At 37.0% G+C, this 27,940-nt stretch overlaps 1 long non-coding RNA gene across 2 annotated transcripts in view; it reads left to right on the top strand.

The window, feature by feature from the left end:
• Window positions 1–27,940, top strand: part of LOC105374511 (uncharacterized) — a 482,145-nt gene that overhangs the window by 378,451 nt on the left and 75,754 nt on the right. Inside the window, exon 3 of one of the 2 annotated variants that reach the window (NR_188379.1) lies at window positions 22,408–22,527. This is a non-coding gene — a long non-coding RNA (uncharacterized LOC105374511). The remainder of the gene's footprint in view (window positions 1–22,407; window positions 22,528–27,940) is intronic. The other variant, NR_188378.1, reaches the window with a different exon arrangement.

Genomic DNA, 27,940 nt, shown 5'->3' on the forward strand with positions numbered 1-27,940 from the left:
GCAGACTCTTGCTGATTGAGATAGTAATCACGTTTTTGTTCATGCTTTTCTTCCAGAATATTGCTATGAGCATTGCAAGCATTCTGATAGTAGATGAGAAAACTAATGGACTGATGGACTGATGGATGGATGGATGGATGGATGGATGGACGGATGGATGATGAATCTTCTATCTGAGCAGTAAAGTTGATAAAAGTGAGCAGGAATCAGAGGAATGAAGAATGAAGTTGTCCTCAGGAAATAAAAGGGGAACCAAGGCTTGCCAGCAAGAAAATAAGAGGAGACCTGGCAGTGAATGAATGATACATTTGATTAAGAATAAAAATTTCAGTGTTACTGGGGGATTTTCTTCACTCATTTAAGTGAAATAAATAACTAGGAGTTAGAATGTGACCAGACAATAGATGGTCTTAAATATACCAATAAGATTAGGCCTTGTGTTCAAAATATATTTAGCATAGACAGTATTTTGAGGCATCATAATTATTTAATAGTAATAACAAAGTTTATGGAGCATTTACTGTATGTCAGGCCCTCTTCTAACTACTTTAGATGTTAATCCAGTTTAACCTCCCCAGCATCCAAGTAGCAACATACCACAGGCCAGCCAGTGATGTCTGTCTGCCCTTTTACGTAGGCAATAAGAAGTTGCATTTTTCTGTCAAAAATTTAAAAACAATTGTAAAACTATTGTTATCCCCATGTAACCAATATTGGTAACTCTTTAAAATGTCAATGATAAAATAGTAGTTCCTGAAACAAATAATTTGTTGGCTTAAATCCTATAATTGCTGATACTGTGAGTTTTGAGTGGCTTTTATTCTGTCATTGTGTATGGTCAGTTGAAGTTTTTATTAGTTTAAAATTTCAAACAATGAAATAGTGAGAAATGCATGATGGGCTATTGTGCCTGGTACAGAAAATAGTTTACTGCATTTTAATAATATCCTTAGAATTAAAATGCCTTATTCTATTTAATTGTTACTTAATTCTTCATTTTTGTGACCGACTAATACATAGGTATATATACTCTCCCTTTTATCAAAAAATCAATGTAATTTAAAAATATTAATTTATTACTCTATTATAATTATGTTTAATTTGCTGGCATAATTATATATATACAAAATTCAATAAAATAAAATGATCACTGTGTTTTTTTTCTGGGTATTATTACTATTCACCTTATTTTATGGTTATTAATGAAACTACTTTTGTAATATTTAATAATATTGTTACAAAATGCTTCACTCTGGGTGCCAGATAATGACAGTAGTGTGATTGATATTGTTTGGCAGTGTCCCCACCCAAATCTCACCCTGAATTGTAGTAATCCCCGTGTGTCAAGGGTGGGACCAGGTGGAGTTAATAGAATCATGGGGGTGGTTTCCCCCATACTGTTCTCTTGGTAGTGAATAAGTCTCACCAGATTTCATGATTTTATAAATGGGAGCTCCCCTGCACAAGTTTTTTTGCCTGCCACCATGGAAGATGTGACTTTGCTCCTCATTTGCCTTCTGCCATGATTCTGAGGCCTCCCCAGGCATGTGGAACTGTGAGTCAATTAGATATTTTCCTTTATAAATTAGAACAGATTAATACAGTCACTGACAATACTTATAAAATAGGTACAGATATTATCTCTAATTTTATAGGTAAGAAAACCTGATTGTAATCTGGCAAGTAGTGGCAGATGTGTATGCAAAGTAGATGATTGTGGTTGAGGGCATAAGGCAGACAGGAAGCAGGGAGAGAGTTAGAAGACAGTTTTGAAAGCCTGCGCTGGTGGCCATATGTAGAAGGGATGTTTGCTTTGAAGGGACTCTGCAGCTTCTGCATGAAGAAATGACCTGCAGGTTGTTCTATGTACCAGTTCTTGCTGATGTTTACATACAGGTGTGAAAAGGTCTCGAGTTTGCTGTTCCCTGTAGAATATGGTTGATGAAAGATCTAATCTCCGGGGAAAAATGCTTGCAGTGATTATGAGGCCAAAGTTATAAAACTGAAATATTGTAATTTCATAGTCACAACACTGGTTTTCTAACTGCAAACTCATTCCTTATTTGATATAAATTTAATGAGACAACTTTCAGAGCATAATATGATATGCAGGAAAATATTAGTAGTCACTGTGCTGACCTATGCTGTACCATTAAGGGAAAAGGCTCCATTTTAAGTCAACGATAACATATTTTGCCACCTTCTGCAGGATAGTTACTGGCGAAACATGAAATGACCAGTTAAGGTGTTTTCCATTCTAACATAGTATCACCCTGCATCATGAGGCCTTTGTAACCTCCATTCATCACTATTATTATCCAAACAGCAGGTTTTTGTAGGGTGATTCAACAGCACCCCAGCACCTCTCCCTGAAGCTGGATAGGGGTAAGGTGAGCAAAAGATGGGGCTTAACTGTTTAAGGGGCTTAACTCAGCCAATGTGAAAACTCTGCCTTATTTCTGATTCCATCATGTTCGTTTCCCTTATCCCTAAAGCAACACATTATGCAGCTTTTTCCTTGCATTCTCCATTGTTATACATGTAAGGGGCAAAGCCAGATGAGTTATTTTATATCTCACTCACAAAGTATGTGTTTCTCTTGAACCTTTAAATAAATAAAGGATTGGCTGACAGGTTCAGGGAGGAAATTAATCTTCCATTGACAGAAAAGATATCGTCCAGACTACAGAAGCCCAAGAATGGCTGAACATTTACCCAAAACCATTGCTCGTTGGCATGCCTTAGGCCTTTCAGTCCATTCAACATTAGAATTTCCTGCTGAAAATAGAGAACCAAATACAAATCAGGGCCTATTGCGAAGCTGAATCTTGTGTAAGGTAGGACCTCACCAAGTTCCTGAGACCATCAAATTATTTATTTTTAATTTTTATAAACCACTTTATTCAGGTAAAACTGACATACAAAAAGCTTTGTGTATTTAATGTATACAACTTGATAAGTATAGAGATAAATATTTGCCCATGCAACTATCACTGCAATTTATACCATAAATATATCCAACATCCGTGCCTTTAAAATGAAGAAGAAATTCTTTAATGAGGTCTGTAAAGCCTTCTTGATTCAATCCCTCTTGCTTTTCCGACCTCATCTTGGACCACTCTTCCCTGTCTCTCCTCTCCAGCCATGCTGGGTTTCTCTAGGAGTCTTTAAAAAGCCATGCTCTCTGCCTCCTCTAGTCTTGCGAATCCTTCTCATCACCTAGCTAAATCTAACCAACATGTCCACTTAAACATCAGTTTCTCAGGGAAGCCGATTTTGTCAAGATTAGATTCTCTAGTCAAGGTGAGGTTCCCTCTTGTTTTACATTCCTATAGGTCCTTCTATTTCTCCCTCATAGTAGTTTACATACTTGTAACTGTTTACATAATTATTTATGACCATTTTTAATACCTGTCTTCAGAGTAGTCTATAAGCTCCATGAGTACACAGATCATGTTTGCTTTATTGAGCTCTTTCTACTAATATCCAGTGCAGTGCCTGGCACATATAGATGTTTAACATTTATTGAGTAAATGATTTAGGTTTATTCTTTATAAATATAGAAAATACCTTAAAAATATATACAGCTGACTTATCATCTAAAATACAAATAGAATCTTAATCCTCAGCCCTTACTATCTTTTAATTGCCCTCATTCCAAAAGCCTAAAAGCTAACTCCTTAGTCTGGCATAGAAAACCTTAACTGCCTTTCCAATGTCACCCCTCCCTACTTTCTTAGATGGAATTACTTATATTTCTCCAAAGTTCTTATGCAATTTGATGTTTCCTTCTCTTCACTCTTCTTAAAATGTCCATCACATTCTTTATCAATTTGTGAAATTCCCAATTCCAGAATCAACTCAAAATAATCATTAATCTTCCTCAGGATTCTCACATGAGCAAAACTGAATGCTGTCACTTCCATAGTTCCAGAACAAAATACTTACATATTCCTGTATTTTAGCATAAGACTACTAATTTAAAAATCCTTTTCATCCTTTCAGTATTCCACAAAGACAGAGACATGGTCTGTTTCTACATTCCTGGAACATGTACAAAATCAATAAAAGTCATCCGAATCACTGGATGAGTGAATGAAACGTATTATCCCTGCACCTACCTAAACTCTTGTCCAAAAAAAAAAAAAACAGTGTATGGTGTTAGAATATTAACTAAGAAATTTTCTTTTCTATATAAGATACTTTTAAAATCTACTGCTAGGAAAAAGTCATGTCTGCTAAAGAGTTGGTGGATTTGCTTGAATTTTTTTTTAAATAAGGGAAACTATGTAAATTATTCTGATTCCCAAGGTGCCCTGGGATATTCAATTCTAATGACATGGATGATTTTCTTTTAAAATATATTCTTCTCCTTCCATAGTTCTGATTGCTTTCTCTGTACTTTAGTTTTATCAACCTCTCATATATATACTTTTTGTTATGGCAATTTCTAATTATCTTGAAAAGGCGAAGAATAACAAATAAAAGACTAGTATCACTGAAGTTCTTTCACATTCTGTTATTGTATGATGTTAAGGAAATTAAAAGTTTTATTCACAAATAAGCTAAAAATGACATTTACAACGAAAAAATATATTTCCTTAAGACAAAGTTCTCTTAGACATACATATTATTTAGATGATGTGTTCATAGTCTATCTACTTCTAAACAAATTGAAAATTTATACTACCCTCCCTAACTTTATACTCACTGGTTTATACAAATGCTCATCTTCTGTTTTTCCCTTTACCAATCTCCCCTTTTCACCTAAAGTCTTCACTAAGTAAATACTGCAAAAGGCTTTCAGGTCACAAAAATGTAAAGAAAATACATATGACATACATACAGGCTATGTTTTGTATTTTTGTAGTTGTGTGATCTTGGACAAGTTATTTTATCTATTTTAGCCTCAGTGTCCTCATATTTATAATATGAATATGTTAGTTATCCATTCTACTTCACAGGACTCAAGATAATCAGATGGGCCCTTCATAGAAGTATTATCTGTGAGTGTAAGCTTAAATGAATAATATGTTAAGGCTTAATTGCAATACTGTAACATTTTCAATTACTATCAATGGGTAAAACTCTTTCCACCAACAAGGTGAACATTGCCTCACACATTCAGTTTGTTTAGCTGCCCCCAGTCATTGTAAAAGTAACATTCTGGTAAACTCTAGTCATAAGTATGGTGATTCATTACTTTTATTAACCTCCTTTCATTATGCTTACGATATTAGTTCTGGGAGCCTACTGGTTTCTTCTTTGTCACTACTACCTAGGCTTTCTAGGTAAATTCATGTATTTATCCATTTATTTACTCATTCACAAGCTCCATGAGGTCAGGAATCTTAATTTTTTTCATGACTATAAGAGTATCTTTTAGGCCAGGCATGATGGCTCACACCTGTAATCCCAGCACTTTGGGAGGCCGAGGAGGGTGGATCAGCTGAGGTCAGGAGTTCCAGACCAGCCTGGCCAACATAACGAAACCCCATCTCCACTAAAAATACAAAAATTAGCCTGGCGTGGTTGCACATGCCTGTAGTCCCAGCTACTCGGGAGGCTGAGGCAGGAGAATCACTTGAACCTGGGAGGCAGAGGTTGCAGTGAGCCGAGGTGGTGCCACTGCACTCCAGCCTGGGTGACAGAGTCCTTCCCCACCTCCCCACAAAAAAGAGTATCTTTTCAAATGATTCTCCTGTCTCAGCTTCCCAAGTTGCTGGAACTACAGGCCTGCTCCACCACGTCTGGCTAATTTTCGTATTTTAGTAGAGACGGGGTTTCGCCATGTTGGCCAGGATGGTCTCGAACTCCTGACCTCAGGTTATCCACCTGCCTTGGCCTCCCAAGGTGCTGGGATTACAGGTGTGAGCCACCACACCCGGCCAAGAGTATCTTTTATACAGTAGGCACCCAATAAATGTTGGGTGAATAAACTGGAAAAATTAAATATTTATTGAACACCTACAATAAGCACTAAAAGTATTATCATGAAAAAGACTGTAAATAGGTTTGGTTTTCCAAAAATTTTACTCTTGGTTGAATTGGTGGAGGAAAATAGTTAACAAGCAAACAAATGAACAAAGGTTCTTATTTCAGATTATGAAAGCGGCGATGTCATAAATTGTCTGAAGATGGCAAAGTCAAATTAAATTCCATCGTCAAAAAAGGCTGCCAGCTGGTGTTTGAGTTGAAACCTTTTTGCCAAGAAGGAAGGCGCTATATTCCTTGTCCAGGAAGATGCTATGGCTCTGCTCTCACAAGTGGATTAATGCTGTTATCATGAGAGTGGGTTAGTTGCCACTAGAATGAGTTTCTGATAAAAGGGGTGAGTTTGCCTCCATCTTGCTCTCTTGGATGCTCTCCTGCCCTTTGGCCCTTCCACCCTGAGATGACGCAGCACAAAGACCCTCACCAGATGCCATCATCCTGATGTTGAACTTTGTGCCATCCAGTGAGAGTGCTAGAAATACATTTATTTCCTTATTAATTACCCAGTGTGATATTCTAGTATAGCAACATAAAGCACAGTAAGACAGGAGATAAAGGAGCACAGCCATCTTGGTAGAGGGAACAACAGGTGCAATCTTGACTGCTGGCTGACTTCCTGGTTAAGTTCTAAATGCCATTTTATGTCTAGGCTCTCCTCCACGGGTAACACAACTTCACAGATATATGGCCTCATAGTAATTCCCATGCTGGCACAGCTGAGGAATCTTTCCATCTGTGAATACTAACCTTGTGAGCTACTTCCTCTGGGCACAGCTCAACTATGCCGCAGATGACTATACTTGTGTATGCACGTGCAATTCTATGCACTTTAAAGAATGACCAACAAAACTCTCTCTATTCACCTCTCGTGTAAACTGATTCTTGTTATATGAGCCTTGCAGGATTTTGAAGCATCCTCAATCTCTATCCACTGTATTCCAGTAGCAATCCTCCTCCCACACTGCCCACCCCCCTGCACATACACGTACACATTTCTGTCAATCGAAAATGTCTCCAGATATCACTGTATATCCCCAGAGGGGCAAATTTGCCCCCTGTTGAGAATGACTGTTCCTGAGGATAAAATACTAGTATCATCTCCTGCCTTACAAAAGCTTTCTGAGTGATCTGGATGTAAAATATTTGCTTACCCAATTTTGCAGTGGTCACTTCTAACCTTTCCAGTCATCAGCAGTGCTGTGTACTTTTGACTACTCAGTATCTGAATTCCTCCCTTCTCCATGTCCAGGAGCTAATCCTTGCAAATCATATCCTATTTCTGGGAGTCTGCTATCTCATACATAAAACGAAAGGCAAAACTAAATTATGTCCAAGAAGCCACACATCTCAAATGTACAATGATTCTTGAAGACAGAATCCTACAGTCTTTAGTGTCATTGATATTCTCACAATTTGCACAATGTTATTTATTGGAATCTAAGGGACTTAGGTCACCGGAATGTGCATGGATTAGAGTTTGTGCTTTGTCCTTCTTTAATTATTGGATTCATTCATTTTTTTCCAATATTGTTTAGAGTAGATTATACTGTTTTTGTTTTATTTTTCTTTTAGCAGTTGTTTCAATCATTTTGCATTACAAGTTCAAAAATCTAGTAGTACAATATTTAAGACATCATTTATGGGTTTTTTTCCTACCACATAATATTTTAAAAAGTACCTTTTCAAGTGGGGGTAAATATTAAATAGGTTTCTTTCTTCTTTCATTAAGTAATCCAGTTATGCAATACATATTATTGTTGAGTGCTTAGATCCAGGAAATGGATGGCATGGGAGTACAGAAACGTACTGGTCCTGCTCTTAAGAAGCTAACAATTTAATTGTGAAATAGGCATTGGCAATACAAATTGATAAGTGCTACAGAACAGGAACATGCAGAGTGGTAAGGAACAGAAAGAAGAAATATCTACCTAAACCTGGAGGGATAGATTTAATGAAAACATACTGTCAATTTTAGCACACATGTATATACCTACACACACACACACACAATGTACACATACTATGTGTGTCTGTTTCTATACACATGTACATATACATGTATCATATCCATATAAATATCTATATATTATACATAATACCTATTTGCATATATATTTTTGTATATATAGAGATATCTATTCATATTATTCATAAATGCATATAATTATTCATAAGTATACATATTTATTTGGACCCAAAGATCCTAACCATTTTATAAACAGATTCCAAAGCCAGATGTGAACAATGGTCAAGTTAAAATTTGGGATAGAAATGTGAATATGCACCTAACATCTTTACATATAATATTTGGTGTTCTTATTTAAACACTTTTGCTGGACCATAGGTTCTCCACAGCATTCAGGTAAAAGTAAAGAAAGAAAGAATGGCAACAACAAAAAGCTTAGAAGTAACCTTATTTGTACTGTGATACACATCAGGGAATTTGGAAGCATGGAGCTCAATAAAGTAGTTTTTCAATTTGCCAGGAGCAGCAGGAGGGAGACCAAAATCAGAACAAAGAGATCTGGGTGTCAGTAAATCTGTGAAACACTTTAATGTGGAATTATATTTCCTGACAACATACGCATTCAATAAAGTAAAGATATTTGATTGCAATTTGCACAGCATCTATTTGAAAGTTAATAATTAGCCATCAGGAAAAATGATGCTTTTCAAAATTATAATAAAATGTGTCATACTAAAACCTTTAAGGAGTGAGTAAGTGGTTTCATTTTGTTTCAGGGTCACAATTGGCTTCAATGTATAGCCTCGCCAAGCATTACAGCAGAGAAGCTTTTGTGCAAAGTGAGCGGAGCACCAGGTCAGCACCACTCAATCACTGTTCAATAGACTTCCTTCAGATAATACAATGGGCCTCAAAATAATCCAAGAAAAACAGTGTGAGGCCATTTCAGCTGAAGGATTATCCCATTGAGAGCTTAAATTTCACTTCTTTCTACAATCATTTTCACATTTTAATTTACAGTTCATTTATAGATTCCCCCAAATAATGATTTAGCTATTGGGTAATGTTGCTCAAGACCTTTTCACTTCATATAATATCCCCTTTGTATTTTAAAAGGTCCATCTCCTCTCAAGCTAGTAGTGTTCAACTTTGTAGAATACAACTCAATTGAACTAAAGACTTGGTAAGTCCCAGTACATCAGTTAGTCATTAATTGTGTCATTCAGTCAAAGGGTCAGTGAACAGTATTTGTGCAGAACCATAGTATGTTGTACCCAAACACATTTTCTAATGGGATATAAATAGAAATGGAAGTTTACCAAAATATGTAGCATTGGTGAGGGTGAAATCAAAGTCACACTGACAAACACTGACATGGAAATCATGGGTATTATTATTATTGATTTCTGTACCCCCAGTCCATCCTAAGTAACTGATCAGGTCAATTATGGTCATCCAGCTTCCCTTAGAGGGAGTGGTTGGGGATGGACACATGGTCAATCTGACCAATAACCAGAGAAGTCTGTGGAGGCTTCTTTGAATAACTTTCTTGTTTGTATAAAAGTGGTGCTGGGCCTTGCTGTGTCCGGATGGAACATTTGGAACTCTCACAGCCACCTTGCTATTTGCCTGAGTATGATGACAACACCAAGAAAGACAGGTGGATGAGATGGAAAGAAGATAGGTTCTTAATGATTTTGTGCTTACTCAGTCAACACTGAAGTCTTCCCTACCCTTGGAGTATCTAATACTTTCTTCTTGTTATTTAAGCCAGTTTGATAATTGTGTTTTACTTGCAATTTGGAACACCATAATCAAAGTGGTGTAATATGGTATTCTTTTCCTGTAACACAAATTGTTCATGTATGAAGAATCTTAAAATATTTGTATATTTTGGCACACATAAATAGTATCCAATGAATATTATCTGACTAAATAACCAAAAATGCATATCAAGTTTTAAACATGGAAATTTGACATTGTCTTTTATGATGGTTAAAAATTCAAAGCAACATAAATGACAAAAAACTGGAGAATTACTTAAATTAACATGTGATTCAATAAAGAAAACTATTAGACATTCATTAAATATTATGTTTTCTAAGAATAGTCAGTGATATAGGAGAATGTTTATGCTAAAATACCAGGTGATTACAAAATAGAAATCATACAAAATGATATACTAATGCTAGATCTATCAGCTGGCTTCTATAGCATTCTGGCCACTTTCCAGCCACAAGGCAGATTGTCTTAAGTACATCATCTCACATAATTTTCCAAGCAGATAAAAGAGGTAGGTTCTTTTATTATTCCAGTGTTACAGATGAGCAGGCAGGTTTTGGAGAGTACATAACTTGTCAACGATCATATAGCTACGAGGTGTGAGCTGGGCTTTGAACACTGAGATTTACCTTTCTTTAATATATTTAGGATGAATAGGGTCTGGATCCTGTCCACCTTTGGGTTAGCTTGTTGTGTGGCCAGCTTTCCTTGGTCACTGGGTTCCTCCCAGGACTCTGAGAGATTCCCAGCATCTCCTTTCTCTTCACTGTGGATTACCATCTATGCCCTTCACCAATGTCTGATGATATAGCAAGGCCTCGCTTCTTGCCTCATTCCAATCATTTAATTTCCCACAGTTCTGAATATAGAATGTTTAATGAAATGTTCTGAAAAAATTACATCACTGAGATTGAAATGTATAAATTACAGCTAAACATTTCTGTTTCTCAGAGTCCCTTACCATTACTGCCATAGGGAATTCCCCACTGGCTGCCTCTTTCCCTCCAACTGGGCGTCCTGCCACATTGCTTGAGCTTTTCCTCTCTCCACCTCCTGTCTCCCCAGCTGTCAACTTCCAACCGTATCTGAGTCTCTGTTAGCTGTCTATGCTAAACATCCCAGACTAGGTTCTTGTATATTTTTGCATATTACAAACTTCTTAAGATACTGTTGAATTTTTTAGAAGAGGGCAGTGTCTTCTTGTACAAACACTTAGAATACCAGAACTACAAATTATTTTATACACATTTCAGGTAGCGCTTTCTACTTTCTAGATTTCCAAAGTTAAGACTTACCTTTGAAATAAAAAGTAATTTATTTATAAAAAATAAAATAAATTATTTTTTATGAAATACTTTTGTGTATTTTAATAATGCTTTTGCTAAAGGAGTAAGATTATTATTCCATATGTGCACTTACCAGCTGCACAACTTAGGAGAATTCCTTTTACCTGTTTTGCTCTCAGTCTTCTCCTCTATAAGAAGAAGGGTTGTCTCTGTCTTTTCCATACCTTTTCCCCTTGTTCATCAACCTTTCTGTTTTCTGCTCAGGAAATCCTATAATGAAGCCTCAGCCTGCCGAAGTGACCATATTTCCTAACTGTCACACCCAAATCTCCAATGAAAAATCCCTTATTAATAGGATTACCATATAATTTATCATCCAAATTGAGACAATTTTGAGAGTGTAAAGCAATGTTATTAATAATTATACCTCATAAACCAGAACAGTCTAGGCGACTGGAGACCTATGGTCAACCTTTATCAGGAGAAGTTCATGCTTTGGGGCTTCCCAGTTTAAGAAAAATAAAGGGGTTTTAGATGTTGAACATTTAAATTTTATCCAGAGGCCACTATGCTTTGTGAGAGTTGTATATTTGGCACAATATGCTGTGTTAGATGTATTGTATAGATCACCTCTGTTTCTAATAAGAAGCTTCCAAAGTAGGACTATGATATGGTTCGGCTGTGTCCCCACCCAAATCTTTAGAATTGTAGATCCCATTAACCCTACATGTCATGGAAGGGAACCGGTGGGAGGTGATTGAATCATGGAAGTGGGTTCTTCCCGTGATGTTCTCATGAAAGTGAATAAGTCTCAATGAGATCTGATGGTTTTATAAACGGCAGTTCCTTTGCACACACTCTCTTGCCTGCCACTACTTAAAACGTGCCTTTGCTTCTCCTTCACCTTCCACCATGATTGTGAGGCCTCCCCACTCATGTGGAACTGTGAGTCAATTAAAACTCTTTTTCTTTATAAATTACCCTGTCTCAGGTACTTCTTCATAGCACTATGAAATGGACTAATACAGGCTATCGCCATTTGAACAATGGCTTCATTCACAAAGAGAAATGTAAGGACACAAGAATTTTTCACTATCTGCCCCATCAAATCCTATTGCCAGCCATTGACCCTGTCCAGAAGCAACCAATGCCTGTCCTTTAAATTCACACTTACTCTCACCTTAAATACTTTATCTACTGTGGTAAAATCTTCAGTGTCTTTGATGTAAAGCTTTCTGTCCTAATTTATATTTAATGTTTCAGAAGCTTGCTTCTGAAAGCATATTAAATATATGAGTGAATCAAATGCAAGTAGCACATACAAATTCTGTTTTCTCTTTATGTAGCAATTCTTTTTGCCTATATTTGATTCCTTGTAAAGGATGAGAAGTAAAGGAGGATTTGCTTCATTGTTTTTGGTAATTCCCAATTTACAAGAGGAGTTTGTTTTTCTTGAAAAATTCATTAAGTAAAGGTGTCCATTACCCATAACTGCAGCAGCAGTAAGTGGCTGTTATTCACCAACGGAAAAAAACTTTGGTCCAAATGGAAGAACCTGAGGGACTCACAGTAGTTCACTTGTTTTCTTTAGCTTTTTCATTTTGTATTTCAATTAATTTTCCCTCTGACAAAAATCTAACAAGGAAACAGAATGGTAAGGCCATTTTGTTTAAAGAAATGTATCTAGGGAGAAAACAGTACAGATGTAAAAGTGAGCAGACTGTATATTTAATTAATATTATAAAAATATAACGTGCTTCAACTGGAGCATGGAAATCTTATCCCTAGGCAGAAAAAAACAATCTGGTATTAGGAATCCCAGAATAAAAGCACTATACACACTCACATATACATAGATACAGTCATTGCTATAAGCTAAGTGCAATTTTAGCTTAAAGAGGGACAGTGTTTTTGCCTCAACCATGCACACATATATCAATTATTTAATATACATTTATTAAGTGCCTACCATGTGCTATACACAGTGAGAAGTTCCATTATGTTATATATTTATATATAATATAAATCAAATTTTACTGCCTAAAAATTTAAATTTTAGTGGAAATCACAGATACATAGCCGTTGATTTCAATCCATTTCTGGTTAAATAATTGGTTATGTATAGATAAATCTTACACAAAGAATGGTTTAACTTGTCTTCATTAAACTACATTCCTAAGAAAAACCTGGCAAGTTTTATTGCAAGCATACAAAAATATTTTGAAAATGCATTCCTTATTTCTTTAAAATACATTTTATCTACAATACATACATGTTTATTACCCCCTGGGAACTTTTATTAGGCTTTAGAAGATGTGCAAAACATATTTAGGAATAAATGGACCAGAAATATTAAACCATTAAAGAATTCACCTAAATTACATAATTATACAGCAACAATATAATCTAAATTTAGTATATGTCAAAAAATTTAAGTAGTTTATACGAAATTATGAACAAAAGTGTTACAGTTCTACCAGTCTGTGAAATTGAATGATGCAAAATATTAGAAGTGTTAGCAGTTTTAGTAGCATTCATTAAATCTTCAGTGTTTATGATGCATATTGCTATAGCCTTTTAGGTATTTAATGCAGGTATTTTGCATTCTGAAAAAAATTCAAGTGTCATTTTGCACCATCTCAAAATGTAATAAGCATTTTCAATAATGAATGAAAAAAAATTCACAGTTCTGTATATTCTAAAAATTACTTCACTTCTTTTATGAGTTTTAGAAAGATATGTATAGCAAATATTGATTAAGTAAGGAATTAAGAAATTATTGCTGTGCTTTTAAAGTTTGTGAAAATTAAGAATCTGCCATCTTTTGTCAGGGATTGAATGGATTTTTTCCTTCCAATATCAGTAGTGACTACAATCTACCTCGTAACTATTGTTGAATTGAACCAAGGAAGTAATTGCTATGTCTATATTAAGGATACATGAATTGCATTGCCTCTTACAGCACAGAAAGTCCTCTCTATTCCCTTCTTCTGATCGCAATTATTCTTCTCCTTATAACAATTATTTTGTTTTTATTTGATAGATATTTTGAATTGTATATCTGACTAGGATTCCCTGAACGCACTAGCTGCAAGAAAGCACCTAACCTTAAGGCCTACTATGAGGAATTGGAGTAGGGTTTGGGTGCAAGGAGCATTAATTGGTTGCCTGAGGGATTTAATTTGTTCTATAAATGTGTTTTGTTTGGTTTGTTTTTGTAAATTATGTTTGAACAATCAGAAATTTTACAAATACACACACACAGGTTTAGAAATAGGTAAAGAAGCACACGTGCATAGAATTCTAGCAACAACATGAGGAATTTTAAAGGAAGTAAATGACCAAAGTCTCCACCACTCACATGACCTCATACTGGCCTCCTTCACTAATGTATAGCATGTGCCTGTTTCCCGTTAATTATTTGGTTTTGTATCATTTGGTTTTTGTAACATATTTCCCTTATTTATGGCTTCATTTCATGTTATTTTTCTTGCTTATTTTCTTTTTCCCTTTCACCATTATCTAACTTATAATATTGGTTTTGTATTTTAGTAGTTTTTATTCCTAACGTAGTTAAGGTATAAATAAAAGAAACAAAGGTTGATTAAATTTGACTTAGTGTATTAGTTAAGTATTTATATCTCATCCTTTTATATTGTATTTTCACTTATCATTTTGTAGCTACTTTAAATCTCTTATGAAATGAGTTAGGGACTGTTATAAAGCCAATCTTAACTTTTTGAAAATCAAATTTTTACCAATGATTTCTTCAAACATTCCCACAATATCCACCAGATGAGCCTATTTGGCTGAAACATGGTCAGAGAAAAGTAGACAAATGTATGAGTGTCAATTTCCAGATAGCACAAAGAATCATCTGGTTGTGACAGGACTCCAGAAATCTCATTCTTCTATTTTGAAGTGCTCTGACATCTGCAGTGAGTGCTGCTGGATTTCTCCTTGAGCACCTGATTCTGTGTTTCACAATGTTTTTTCAATGTTACTATTTTTTGAGCCCTTTCTATGTTTTGGGGAATAGACTAGATACTTAAAATATGTTATTTCATTTAGCCTGTTCTACAGCCCTGGGAATTTGGTATTATTGTATTCCTTAAAAAATGAGTCCACTGAGATTAGAGAGGCTAAATAACTTGCCCAAGGCCACGTGAGTGAGAAGTGGCTCAGCTAGTACTGATCCTGGGTCGAGTTACTCCAAGGAGTTACTCCCAATGTGTTTGTTACCCTTGGGACAGGAGAGTTATCAACCAAAGGAGCTGGCAAGAACAGATGGCACCTCTAAGACTCTTACCTGCAATTAGAAACTGCCAAGGCAGCTGCTCTTATCATAACATTGTAGTAGAAAAGAGGTGGTAGGAGAAGAGTAGGCAAAAAACAAAAGGAATTCTTATGTTCTCCTAGAAAAGAAAAGAAGAATACAGTTATTTGACACTCCTGAGTTAATATGCACTTTTTAAAAATAGCAACAGCCTCTTGAACAAAATCTAAACTTAACAATCCATCATAACTTGGTGTGAATTCCACACACTCTCTACCGTTGCTTCTTACTATATTTGAGCTATAGTAGCAAATTTTCTGCTCCTAAAAACATGCCCTGCCCCAGGACCTTGTTATTCGCTGTGTTGTTAGACTTGCCCCTGGCTGATTTCATGATTGGCATCTCCTCCTTCAGGACTCAAATACCAAGGAAATTAAGGCAGCTTGCCCTATCCATCTTATCTAAACTACCTTACTCTCTCAATTATTTTCTGTTCTATCACTCAATTTTTTTTCTCATAATATTTAACATTTTGAAGTAATTTTTAAAATTAATTTATTTTTAGGGATTTTTGGTAACTGATGCTTTTTGTTTGTTTACATCTATTTCCTACTATTCTAGTAATTGTTTCATGAATCATGATTTTAGATAATTATTGGCCACCTTTTAATTTTTTTATTTTATTTATTTATTTATTTATTTTAGAAGGAGTATCGCTCTGTGGCCAGGCTGGAGTGCAGTAGCACCAACTTGGCTCACTGCAAGCTCTGCCTCCCCGGTTCAAGTGATTCTCCTGCCTCAGCCTCCTGAGTAGCTGGGACTACAGGTGCGTGCCACTACGCCAGGCTAACTTTTTTTTTTTCTTTGTACTTTTAGTAGAGACTGGGTTTCACCATGTTGGCCAGGATGGTCTTGATCTCTTGACCTCGTGATCCGCCAGCGTCGGCCTCCCAAAGTGCTGGAATTACAGGCATGAGCCACCGCGCCTAGCCTTTTTTTTTTTCTTTTTCTTTTTTGACTGTCTTGGTGGGACCTTCCTTTAAGGCACCTTAGCCAAAAGGCTGAAATATCATCCAGCTCGCTTAGATTACCTCTTCCTGGATTTGAGTGTCAATCAAAGTATTTAAGGACTGAAATGTTTGGAGTCCATTTATCCCAATTGTTCCACACCGAAGACATTCCCTGTTACTTTGTTATATAGATACTTAGAGCAGCCATAGTTTCTATACAAATTTAAGTCTTTAGTTATTTTTTGTTTGTTTTACGTTAAGTTAACCCATATTCTCTCAATACGTTATTTTACTTTCTCTTATAAGTTAAACAAAATCAGAAAGCATGGTTATCCTTTTCTGGATCTGCAAACCAAAATATAAGCCCCATGAGGTCAGAAAATCTGTTTGGTACATTAAACATCTGCAATAGTGTGTGATAGCTAGTGTGCATCTAATAATTGTTTTTAAATATAAAATGAATGAATACAATCTGCCGAGTGTCCTGAAAGGGGTCTTTAAAGCAGAGATAATTGGATTCAAGAGAGATGTCTGTTTCTAGCTTTAGCTCCTCTTCAGTGAGTTTGTTCCCACATCATATGAACTTGTTTTCCCCCAATAGTAAAGGCTTCTCACTCTTCTGTGGTCTGTTGTCACTTTTTGTGGAAGATGATATGCTCTGATTTACTGACTTGATCAGACTCAATTTACTAAACCATGTGACCTTTGGGCAAGTTTCTTAAGCACTCTCTAAATCTTAGTTTCCTTCTCTGCAAAGCGGATAACAATACGTGCTGTTTCATGGGTAATACCATGAACTCACCAGGCGCTGTTTGGTCTTTTGTTTCTAAGCACTCAGAGAGGTTCCTTTCTCAGGTTTTGCGAGTGAGTCAGGGCTATATGACTAAGTGAAAATGATGCATGCTACTTTGAGGCCTGACCCTTAAAAGCTTAGACTCAATCCATTTCACATTCACTTTTCCCCGGTCTATTGGCCACTGCCATCCAGTGGAGAATACTAAGGACCCAATGGTCCAGGATAGTCAGTCTGGATGGCCTCCAAATGACTGCATTTTACCTTCATGTGAGTAAGCAGTAAACTGTAGTTTATTTAAGCCACTAATATTTGGAATGTTGTAGTTGTTTTTATTGTTGTTACATCAGGTAACATAACTTGATTAAGTAGATCTATAATTACAATAATTCAAGTAAGGATTACTTAGGATGGAACTAGTACAAAGCATCACTCACAAAAGAAGTTCAAAAAAATATTATTCACATATTTCTCCATTGGTTTTTACCCCTGTCCAACATATCTTCACCAGTCCACTTTTACTCCCTTCTTATCTCTTAAATAAAAATGTCTTTCTATTGGATTATAAATACTATGTAATTTTTTATTCTAATCTATGGAACTTGGTCCATTACTTTCACTGATTTCTTCGAAATTTCTTTTGAAACTTTCTTTCTCCAATGGTTCATCTCTACCTATGAATACATTCCCATTTGATGCATCCATGAGGAACAATGCTTCACCTCTTCTATGGCCTTAATCTATAGTCATTTCCCTTGTATGTTACAGAAAAAAAAAATTCTACTAAAAAAGTAATTTGGATCCTTTGGATCTTCTTTTTCACTACTCTTTTACTCGTAAAACGTTTCATTCAATTTTTCATCTCCTTCATTCTACATAAGTATTTTCTCAGAGATCGCTCATGTTGAAATGGTCAAAATAAATTTGCATTTTTTGACTGCTCTTTAGCACTAGAATTGTAGCTCGCCAGTCTTTCTTCCCATAACAGTTCATGTCCCAGCATCTTATTCCCATGATCTCTTGGGAAGTTAGCCACATTCAGGGTTTCTACCTCTCTCAGTGGATGCCTTTCTGTGTCTGGTCTTACTCTGTCTATTGAGATTGCCTGGACCTTTCTAATGGTCTGTTAGACATAACTAACTGTTAAAATTTATTTTAACACATAAACCTTTTCTTCCTTTTAAACTATTCTAAATGTGTCTAAAAACAACCTCCTTATTCCCATATGGGCCCTCTCTTCCTTTTAAACATGCTAACTGTCATAATTTTTTCAAACCACCTGCATTTGGAAATATAAGGCACCAGTTAGTTATCATTCTTCCCCATGTTTAACTCTCAATTAGTTGAACAATTTTCTCTACAAATTATCTTGAATACCACTTTTCCTTTTCCTCTTGGCTCGTTGAATGATACCTCCAACCACTCAGTTGCTCAAGTCAGAGAGGCCCATCTTTAATTTGGCAATTGGACTTGTTTAATTTAACACTCCCTTAACCTCCAAATTCCAGCAACCCACCCATTTCTACAACTTCTAAGTATAAAATAGTATTCAAATTATTTTTCATTCATTCATCCCCATGGCCAGTATTTTGGATTAGCCTCCCAGGATCTGTCATTTCTATCACCAAGAAATTCTGTCATAGCCATTCTTCTGTCTCACTCAAATCCCCAAAATCCACTATTTACAGTTCAACCACAGTGATATTTCTAATGTCAAATCTAACTTTTACTGTGCTTCAAAGGTTCTCCATTGTATTAAGATAAAGGGCAGAGTCTTTAAGTAAGCTTGTGTAGTTTCCATTTGTGAAGCCCAATTAAGTACTTATCCTCATCTTTACTTTTCAATCACACTGTACATTCAATTAACAGTAATTATTTATTAGTAGTATACTCAACATATTATATTTTCTTCTGTCTGAAGATCTACATGCATGACATTTACTGTTGTCAAAAAATTCTTTACCTCTGGCCATTTATCTGGATAACTGCAAGTCATCCCTATTTTCACTTAGAGAAAGGGTGACCGCATAATTTATTGTTCAAGATGAGATTATTTTGAGAGTAGCAAGAGTATTAGTAATAATTACACCAAGAGAACAGACATACACAGTAACTATTCTGGGATAACTAGGATATATGGTCATGCAAATTAGGTACACTTATCAGAAAAATGTTCTCATCATCAACCCCGTGTTATTTATTTTTCATTACTCTTACATAGAATTCTATTTCTCCTATAAAATAATGTATTACATTTTATCAGCAGGCAGTTGATCCCCTTACAGTAGCCACAATTAGAGCTGACTAGTCCCCATTCCACAACCATTCCAGGTTAGACTGGAATCAGACTTTTAGAGTGAGAAAGCTGATCTGCCAGCAGCAACAGCAGTAGCAAAACTTTCTGCCTTCCTACCCTCCACCAAATAGCATAGGAAGAGGCAGGCTCAGCAGCTTATAATTCGCTTCCCACTTAAAGATCACTCAGTGTATTAGTCCGTTCTCACACTGCTATAAAGAAATACTTGCAACTGGGTAATTTATAAAGAAAAGAGGGTTAATTGGCTCATGGTTCTGCAGGCTGTACAGAAAGTATAGTGGCTTCTGCTTCTTGGGAGGCCTCAGGAAGCTTCCAGTCATGGCAGAAGGCAAGGCGGGAGCAAGGCATCTTACGTGGTGGGAGCAGGAGCAAGAGAGAGCAAGGGGGGAAGTACTGCGTATTTTTAAACAACAGTATCCCATGAGAACTCACCCATGATCACAAGTACAGTATCGGGGAGATGGTGTAAACCAGTCACGAGAAATCTGCCCTCATGATCCAATCACCTCCCACCAGGCCCCACCTCCAAAATTAGGGACTAAAATTCAACATAAGATTTGGTGGAGATACAGATCCAGACCATATCATTCTGCTCCTGGCCCCTCCTAAATCACATGTCCTTTTCACATTGCAAAACAAAAACATGCCTTCTCAACAATCCTCAAAGTTTAAAATCACTCCAACATTAACTCAAAAGTCCAAAGTCTCATTGGAGACAAGCCTAGTCCCTTCTGCTTATGAGACTATAAAATAAAAAAACAAGTTAGTTACTTCCAATCTACACTGGGGGTATAGTCATTGGGTAAATATTTCCATTCCAGAAGGGAGAAATTGGCCAAAAGAAAGGGACACCAGGCCCCATGCAAGTTCCAAAACCAGCAGGGCAGTCATTAAATCTTAAAGCTCCAAAATAATCTTCTTTAACTCCATGTCAGACATCCAGGACACACTGATACAAGGGATGGTCTCCCGAGGTCTTGAGCATCTCTGCCCCTATAGCTTTCCAGGGTTTAGCCAGCACGGCTGCTCTCCAAGGCTGACAGTGAGTGCCTGCAGACTTTTCAGGTACAGGGTGCAAACTGTTTGTGGATCTATTATTCTGCGGTTTACAGGATGGCGGCCCTCTTCTCACAGCTCCACTAGCAGTGTTCCAGTGAGGACTCTGTAGGGGCTCCAACCCCAAATTTCCCCTCTGCACTGCCCTAGTAGAGTTTCTCCATGAGAGCTCCAACCCTGCAGCAAGGTTCTCTCTGGATATCCAGGCTTTTCCATACATCCTTGAAATTTAAGCAGAGGCTCCCAAACCTCAATTCTTGGATTCTGTGCATCCACAGGCTTAACACCACATGGAATCTGCCAAGGCTTATGGATTGCACCCTCTGAAGCAGCAGCCTGAACTGTACCTGGGCTCCTTTGAGCCATGGCTGGAGCTAGAGCTACTGGGATCTGGGGAAGAGTGTCCCAAGGTTTCACAGGGAAGTGGGGCACGGGATCTGGCCTATAAAACCATTCTCTCATCCTAGGCTTCTGGGTCTGTTATGGGAGGGGCTGCCAAGAAGTTCTCTGAAGTGCCTTTGAGGCCTTTTCTGCAGTGTCTTGGGTATTAGCACTTGGCTCTTTCTTACATATGCAAATTTCTGCACCCTGCTTTGAAGTCCTCCCATGAAAATGGACTTTTCTTTGCTACATCATGGCCAGGCTGCAAATTTTTCAAATGTTTACTCTCTGCTTCCCCTATAAATCTAAGTTCCAACTTTAGGTCATTTATTTGCTAACTCATATGAGCATAGGTTGTTGGAAGCAGCCAGGGCACCCCTGAATGCTTTGCTGCTTAGAAGTTTCTTGCACCAGATATCCTAAATCATCACTCTGAAGTTCAAAGTTCCATGGATCCTTAGGGCATGGGCACAATGCAGTCAAGCTCTTTGCTAAGCATAACAAAAGTGACCTTTCCTCCAGTTCCCAATAAGCTCCTAATTTCCACCTGAGACCTCATCAGCCTTGCCTTCACTGGCCATATCACTACCATCATTTTGGTCATAACCATTCAACCCGTCTTTAGGAAACTCCAAACTTTCCCTCATCTTCATATGTTCTTCTAAGTCCTCTACAGTTTTTCAACCTTTGCCCATAACCTGGTTCCAAAGTTGCATCCACATTTTCATGTATCCTTACAGCAATGTACCACTTCTGAAACCAATGTTCTGTATTAGTCCATTCTTGCTTTGCTATAAAGAAATACCTGAGACTGGGTAATTTATAAAGAAAAGTGGTTTAATTGGTTCATGATTCTGTAGGCTGTGCAGGAAGCATAGTGGCTTCTACCTCTGGGGAGGCCTCAGTAAAGTTGTAATCATGGTGGAAGGCAAAGAGAGAGGAAAGCATCTCACATGGTGGGAGCAGGAGCAAAAGAAAGTGGGGAAGCGCTACACACTTTTAAACAACCAGATCTCATGAAAACTCCCTCACAATTGCAAGAATGGTACAAAAGGGATAGTGCTAAACCATTTATTTGAAATCCACTCCCCATGATCCAATCACCTCTCACCAGGCCCCATCTCCAGCACTGGGGATTACAATTCAACGTGATATTTGGTGGGGAGGAAGACCCAAACCACATCAATTAGCAATAGCAGGCAATTTCAGAAGATACCTTCTACATCACCAGAAAGGATTGAGCTGGGGCCCCAGCAGTGCAAGAACAAAGAAAACAAGATAAGTAAACTTACATTGGAACTAAAGTCCACAAAAGTCCACCAGAACCTATACACTAAAGTTAAACAGGTTGACTGCAAGCTAAAGTAGAAGCTCCTTGTGTAATACCTACCCTTTGAGTATGGGTTGGTTTTAGTTATTTGCTTCCAGAGAATAGAAATTTCTTCCATGATTCAGTGCATAATATTTTGACTTGTCTTTCTTGCTAGTAGACTTTCATGCTCTCACTCTCTCTCTCTCCCTCTCTCTCTGTCTCTCTCACTGGCAGAAGAAATCTTAAAAGTTTGAGAAGAAAATATGGTAAATAACTAAGAGAAATCTCTGGTCAATACTCAACAAGTCCTTCAGTCCAACAATATTCCATACATGAAATCCTGCCAAAAACCAGGTAAGTAACCATAGAAGCATATAATTCCCCTGTTGAACTTTCACAACCCAGCTTGTGACCTTCATTGCAGGTTAAAGAGAGATCATCAATCAGAGGACCCAATTAAGCTGTGACCAGAGTCCTGGCCCATTGCAACTGTGAACAAAGTGCATGTTGTTTAGGCTGCTAAACTTGTGGTTATTTGTTTCACAATAGTAAGTAACTTATAAAAATGCTCTATACTCGTGATCCTCATTATCAATGAAACATCTCATTATTCATGTAAGGACATTGAATTCCTTAAAAATTGAGGTAAACTATCTTGAAAACAAAGCCCAAGGGGTTAATGCATTTTCATATACCCTCCTTCACCTGCTAGAGATCAAGTTAAAGAAGTCACAATCACTATTACTGTTGTAGAAAAGGTACTCCTTTTCCTTTATTCAGGCTCTTACTTGTGCTTAGAATAAATGTTTGTGGCTTCTATGGTTAACTAGCTGAAACATAAAGGCTTTGGTTATTGTATGTTCCCTTCGAAGGCCATTTGTAGTATTGATTTAACCCACAAGCACTTTGGACGTTGTTTTTGCCTCAATCATTCAAGCAGGTGGTTCTGTACAATGTAGAACACAGCTTAAAGGGAAAAACATAGAAAGACATCAACTCTACAAGCAGCTCCTGTAGTAGCTCTGGAAACATTGTGAAGTAACTCTATGCACAATATTATTGATACCTATTTGGAATTTTCCTATAATGGGACAAATTTGATATACAATCTATTTACATTATAGAATCTTTCCTAATGCACCTGTGTCTCACTGACAGGTTTTTCTTTCCCTATCTGCTGAACTTGTATGTTTTATCTAATGGAAGTTGATATTAAGCAATGATGGAAGAATCTGCATACAAGGCAATAAAACCTCCTATATGGTATTATTGTTGTTAGGGAAATTAATAGTAGCTTCCACAGCAAACAAAACTACTCTTATTGTCTGAACACAACAAAAGTCTATTTCTTGCTATGTCAAATCTAACGCAGATGTTCCTTGATGGTTGGAGAACTGCCTATGGTTTTTCAGAGATCCACACTATACATCTTGTAGTTCTGCTATTCTCTAGGGCTGCAGAGATGTATACTTGATCCTTTGCTTTCAGCTGCTAGTCAGGAGAAAGGCAGAAGATCATGTGAGAAAGAATTTTCTGGGCCAGTTCCAGAAATGGTTTACACAGTCCACTAGACAAAAGCGAGTCCAACAGCCACATCTAACTGCAAAGGAAGCTGGGAAATGTAGTCTAATTTTGTGCCCAGGAAGAAAATGAGAACTGGTAAATATAGACTGTCTGGGGGTAGATTAAAAGAATGCAAATATTAGTACAAATAGATTAAAGACTGCAGAAATATGGCACACGATTTATGCAACTTAATTCCAACATAGATCAGTATTTATAATAGAAAACTTATTTTAAAGAATTTTATACTATATAAATAATAAAAAAGAATTTTATACTATATAAATAATAAAATTAATGTAATAATGCAACAGTGTGTTCTAACTGTGGTTTTATTGTAATTTCACCTTTTGATAATAATCATCTTACCTATTTCCTGATTAGCTCTGTCAAGTTATTTTCCTTTTCCCCATTTTCTGTTCGTTTCTCCTTGGTAGGTTATATTCCCTTCTCATCTTCTTAAGGGAAGCTTGCATTTTGTACTATACCATATTGCATGAAATAATTCATTCTGCATAAAACATGTTTGGATACACTTTCTAGACTGGGTTAGGTTTTCCAAGGATTTTTATTGGAACTAAACACATTCTACAATCCTGTACCATACTAGAAATAGAAGTTGCATATGCTGCCTCTTGGGAAGTAGAGCAGTTAAGTGGTATCCTGGAGTTCAATAGCTGCAAGAATGAAGTAAATGACCAAGAGATGAAGGAAAATGGGGGGAAAAATCTAGCCCTTGCTACCAACTTCAACAAGTAGTATTTAGTGGCTGCTCATGTTGTCTCAGTGGACAGAGAGCATCTGTCCACTGAGCATCTGAAGGCATGAATCTTTTACTACCCCAGTAAAGGTCACATATTTTTATGCTCTAGCCTAAGCTGAAAGATCTCATGGTCATGACCTTGACAAATTTCCTAGGCTATTGGTGTCAGGATGCACCCTTGATCTGCAATGTTTTATATTGTTCTCTGGGTTTGTTTCCTGAGAAGCAGGTCATGCTGGACCTGCAGTTCAGAGTGACTTAAGTAACCCTGACATTGTAATTGGCATTGTCTGCTCGAAAAGCTGTTATTAAAAATAAGTGTTTGAGGAGAAATTGTTGTTCTTATTCTGTTCCATTATCTCATATGGAACGTGAAAGTTTATTTCCGTATTTGTCTTCTCTTAGCTAGTTTATATGCCTCTGAAATATTAGATATTTTGTAAAATAAACTTAAATGCTAAGTTACATAGAAGTATCATTGTATAGAATTGGTTATACCTAAAAGACCAGAAATCACTTGAATTAAAACAGTGAAAGCTACAGAGAACACACCATAAAACTTTGTTCTGCTTCTCCTTTCTCTGCTTCTACCCCACTGATAGTTCTCAGTGGCATTTTATAGACCCAAAGAAAGAGAAAACAGGTATTTTCTAGTTTCTTTTGTTCTTTTTATAAAAAATACTTCAAGTATAAAATGCACAATATATTACTTATACATACATACATATATTTTTATAAAATGAACACATATCTTATTAACATACTAGCCACTTCTTTTAAAGTCAATATTTACACTTAGAGTGAAAGTTAATTTAAAAATAAAATCTCTTTTTCCCAACTTTTATTTTAAGTTCAGGGGTACATGTGCTGCGTGTGCCGGTTTCTAACAAAGGTAAAAAATGTGTGTGCCATGGTGGTTTGCTGCACAGATAATCCCATCACCTAGGTATTAAGCCCAGCATCCATTAACTATTCTCCCAGATGCTCTCCCTCCTCCCACCCACACCCTCAGACAGGCCACAGTGTGTGTTGTTCCCCCAACCCACGCGTCCATGTGTTCTCTTTATTCAGCTCCCAAAGTCTTATCCTAACTATACTTTGATAGTGTGTGAATGGGCATGTGTGTATATTTTACCATATACACATGAACCTTTAAATATCATCAGTCTCTGGGTCTGAACTGTGACTGTTTGCCATCAAGGAAGTGGGCATTATCTGAAGGAATTTGTTTTCTGAGTTTCAGAGAGAGAATAGCAAGAGTTCGATTAGCAACAGATTTATCAGAAAATACTTCTCATCTGAATCTATTTGGTTTCTGATATACCATATTTGGGATAAATAACTAATTTATCCCAAATTAGTTATTTATCCCAAATACTGTATGCTTCAAGTTTTTGTATTATTATTATACTTTAAGTTCTGGGATACATGAGCAGAATGTGCAGGTTCATTACATAGGTATACACGTGCCATCATGGTTTGCTGCACCCATCAACCCGTCGTCTACATTAGGTATTTCTTCTAATGCTATCCCTCCCCTACCCCCGCCACCCACCGACAGGCCCCGGTGTGTGATGTTCCCCTCCCTGTGTCCATGTGTTCTCAATTGTCCAGTTCCCACTTATGAGTGAGAACATGCGCTGTTTGGTTTTCTGTTCCTGTGTTAGTTTCCTAAGAATGATGGTTTCCAGCTTCATCCATGTCCCTGCAAAGTACATGAACTCATCCTTTTTTATGACTGCATAGTATTCCATGGTGTATATGTGCCACTTTTTCTTTATCCAGTATATCATTGATGGGCATTTGGGTTGGTTCCAAGTCTTTGCTATTGTGAATAGTGCTGCAATAAACATACGTGTGCATGTGTCTTTATAGTAGAATGATTTATAATCCTTTGGGTAAATACCCAGTACTGGGATTGTCATCTTCCAGTGTTAAGTGACAGAATCCATATTAATTGACACCAAACAATATTTTCCCACATAATACAACATCCATAACTAGCTATTTAACACACTTGGTTTGGCAGTTTGATAATGCCAGAAATTATGAAACTATTTTCAGTAAATTTTTGGCTTTCTCTTATGGTTGAAACATGACTACACTACTTCCAAGTTCCATATCTTTATACGATAACACCAAAACCACAATGATAAAATAGGAAATGGTCATATTTGATTAGATAGAAAAACCTTTCCCAGAAACTTCCTCACAGATTTCAATTAGATCTTGATATAATTTGGATATTTGTCCTTGACCAAATCTCACGTTGAATTTTAATCCCCAATGTTGGAGGTGGGGCCTGGTGAGAGGTGTTTGGGTCATGTGGGTGGATCCCTCATGGCTTGGTGTTGTCTTCACAATAGTGAGTTAGCTTTTATGAGATATATTTGTTTAAAAGTGCATTATACCTCCCTACCCTCTCTCTTGCTCTCACTATGGCCATGTGATGTGTCTGTTCCTGCTTTGCCTTCCACCATTAATAAAAGCTTCCTGAGGTCTCCCCAGAAGCTGAGCTGATGCTGGCACCATGCTTGTACAACCTGCAGAACCATGAACTAATTAAAATGAGTTTTTTTATAAATTACCCAGTCTCAGCTATTTCTTTTTTTTTTTTTTTTTTTAGACAGAGTCTTACTCTGTCCTCCAGGCTGGAGTGCAGTGGTGTGATCTTGGCTCACTGCAACCTCTGCTTCCTGGATACAAGCAATTCTCCTGCCTCAGCCTCCCGAGTAGCTGGGATTTCAGGCATGGGCAACCAAGCCCAGCTAATTTTTATATTTTTAGTAGAGACAGGGTTTCACCATGTTGGCCAGGCTGATCTCGTAATCTTGACCTCAGGTGATCCACTCACCTGCCTCGGCCTCCCAAAGTGCTGGGATTACAGGCATGAGCCACTGCGACCCACCCAGGTATTTATAGCAATGAAAGAACAGCCTAACACAAAAAGGTCTTATTGACTAAGATTGGTTTGTGTTCCCACAATCTTGCCAAAAAGGAAATTGACTTTTTGGCATTTGCAGACTCTGTCACAAGAAGCAGACTATGCCAACCAGGAGAGGGGAAAGAAAATGACTATTGAGTGGGCATCCAGCAGTATATATCACCGCATGTGTGATATACATTGTTTTATGTAAATATGCTCTATTAGTCAGGGTTAACTAGATTATTATCTAGTAACTAATAATCCTGAAGGCTCATGCTTGATGTTCATTTTATTTGGGTTGTTGGTGGGGATCCCGATGAGTATAAACCTCATTCGGGAATTCAGGCTGAAGCTTCACTGGTTGCCATAACAGGAGGAAAAAGAGATGAATTGTGCTTCAATTCCTAAAGACTTTAATCTACAAGTGATATTGTCATTACTGCTCACATTTTATTGTTCAATGCAAGTCACATGGCCACTCCTTGCTTCACGTAAAGTTAGGACATATCATTTTT

This window comes from Homo sapiens, chromosome 4, assembly GCF_000001405.40.
Source record: "Homo sapiens chromosome 4, GRCh38.p14 Primary Assembly".
Lineage (NCBI taxonomy): Eukaryota > Metazoa > Chordata > Mammalia > Primates > Hominidae > Homo > Homo sapiens.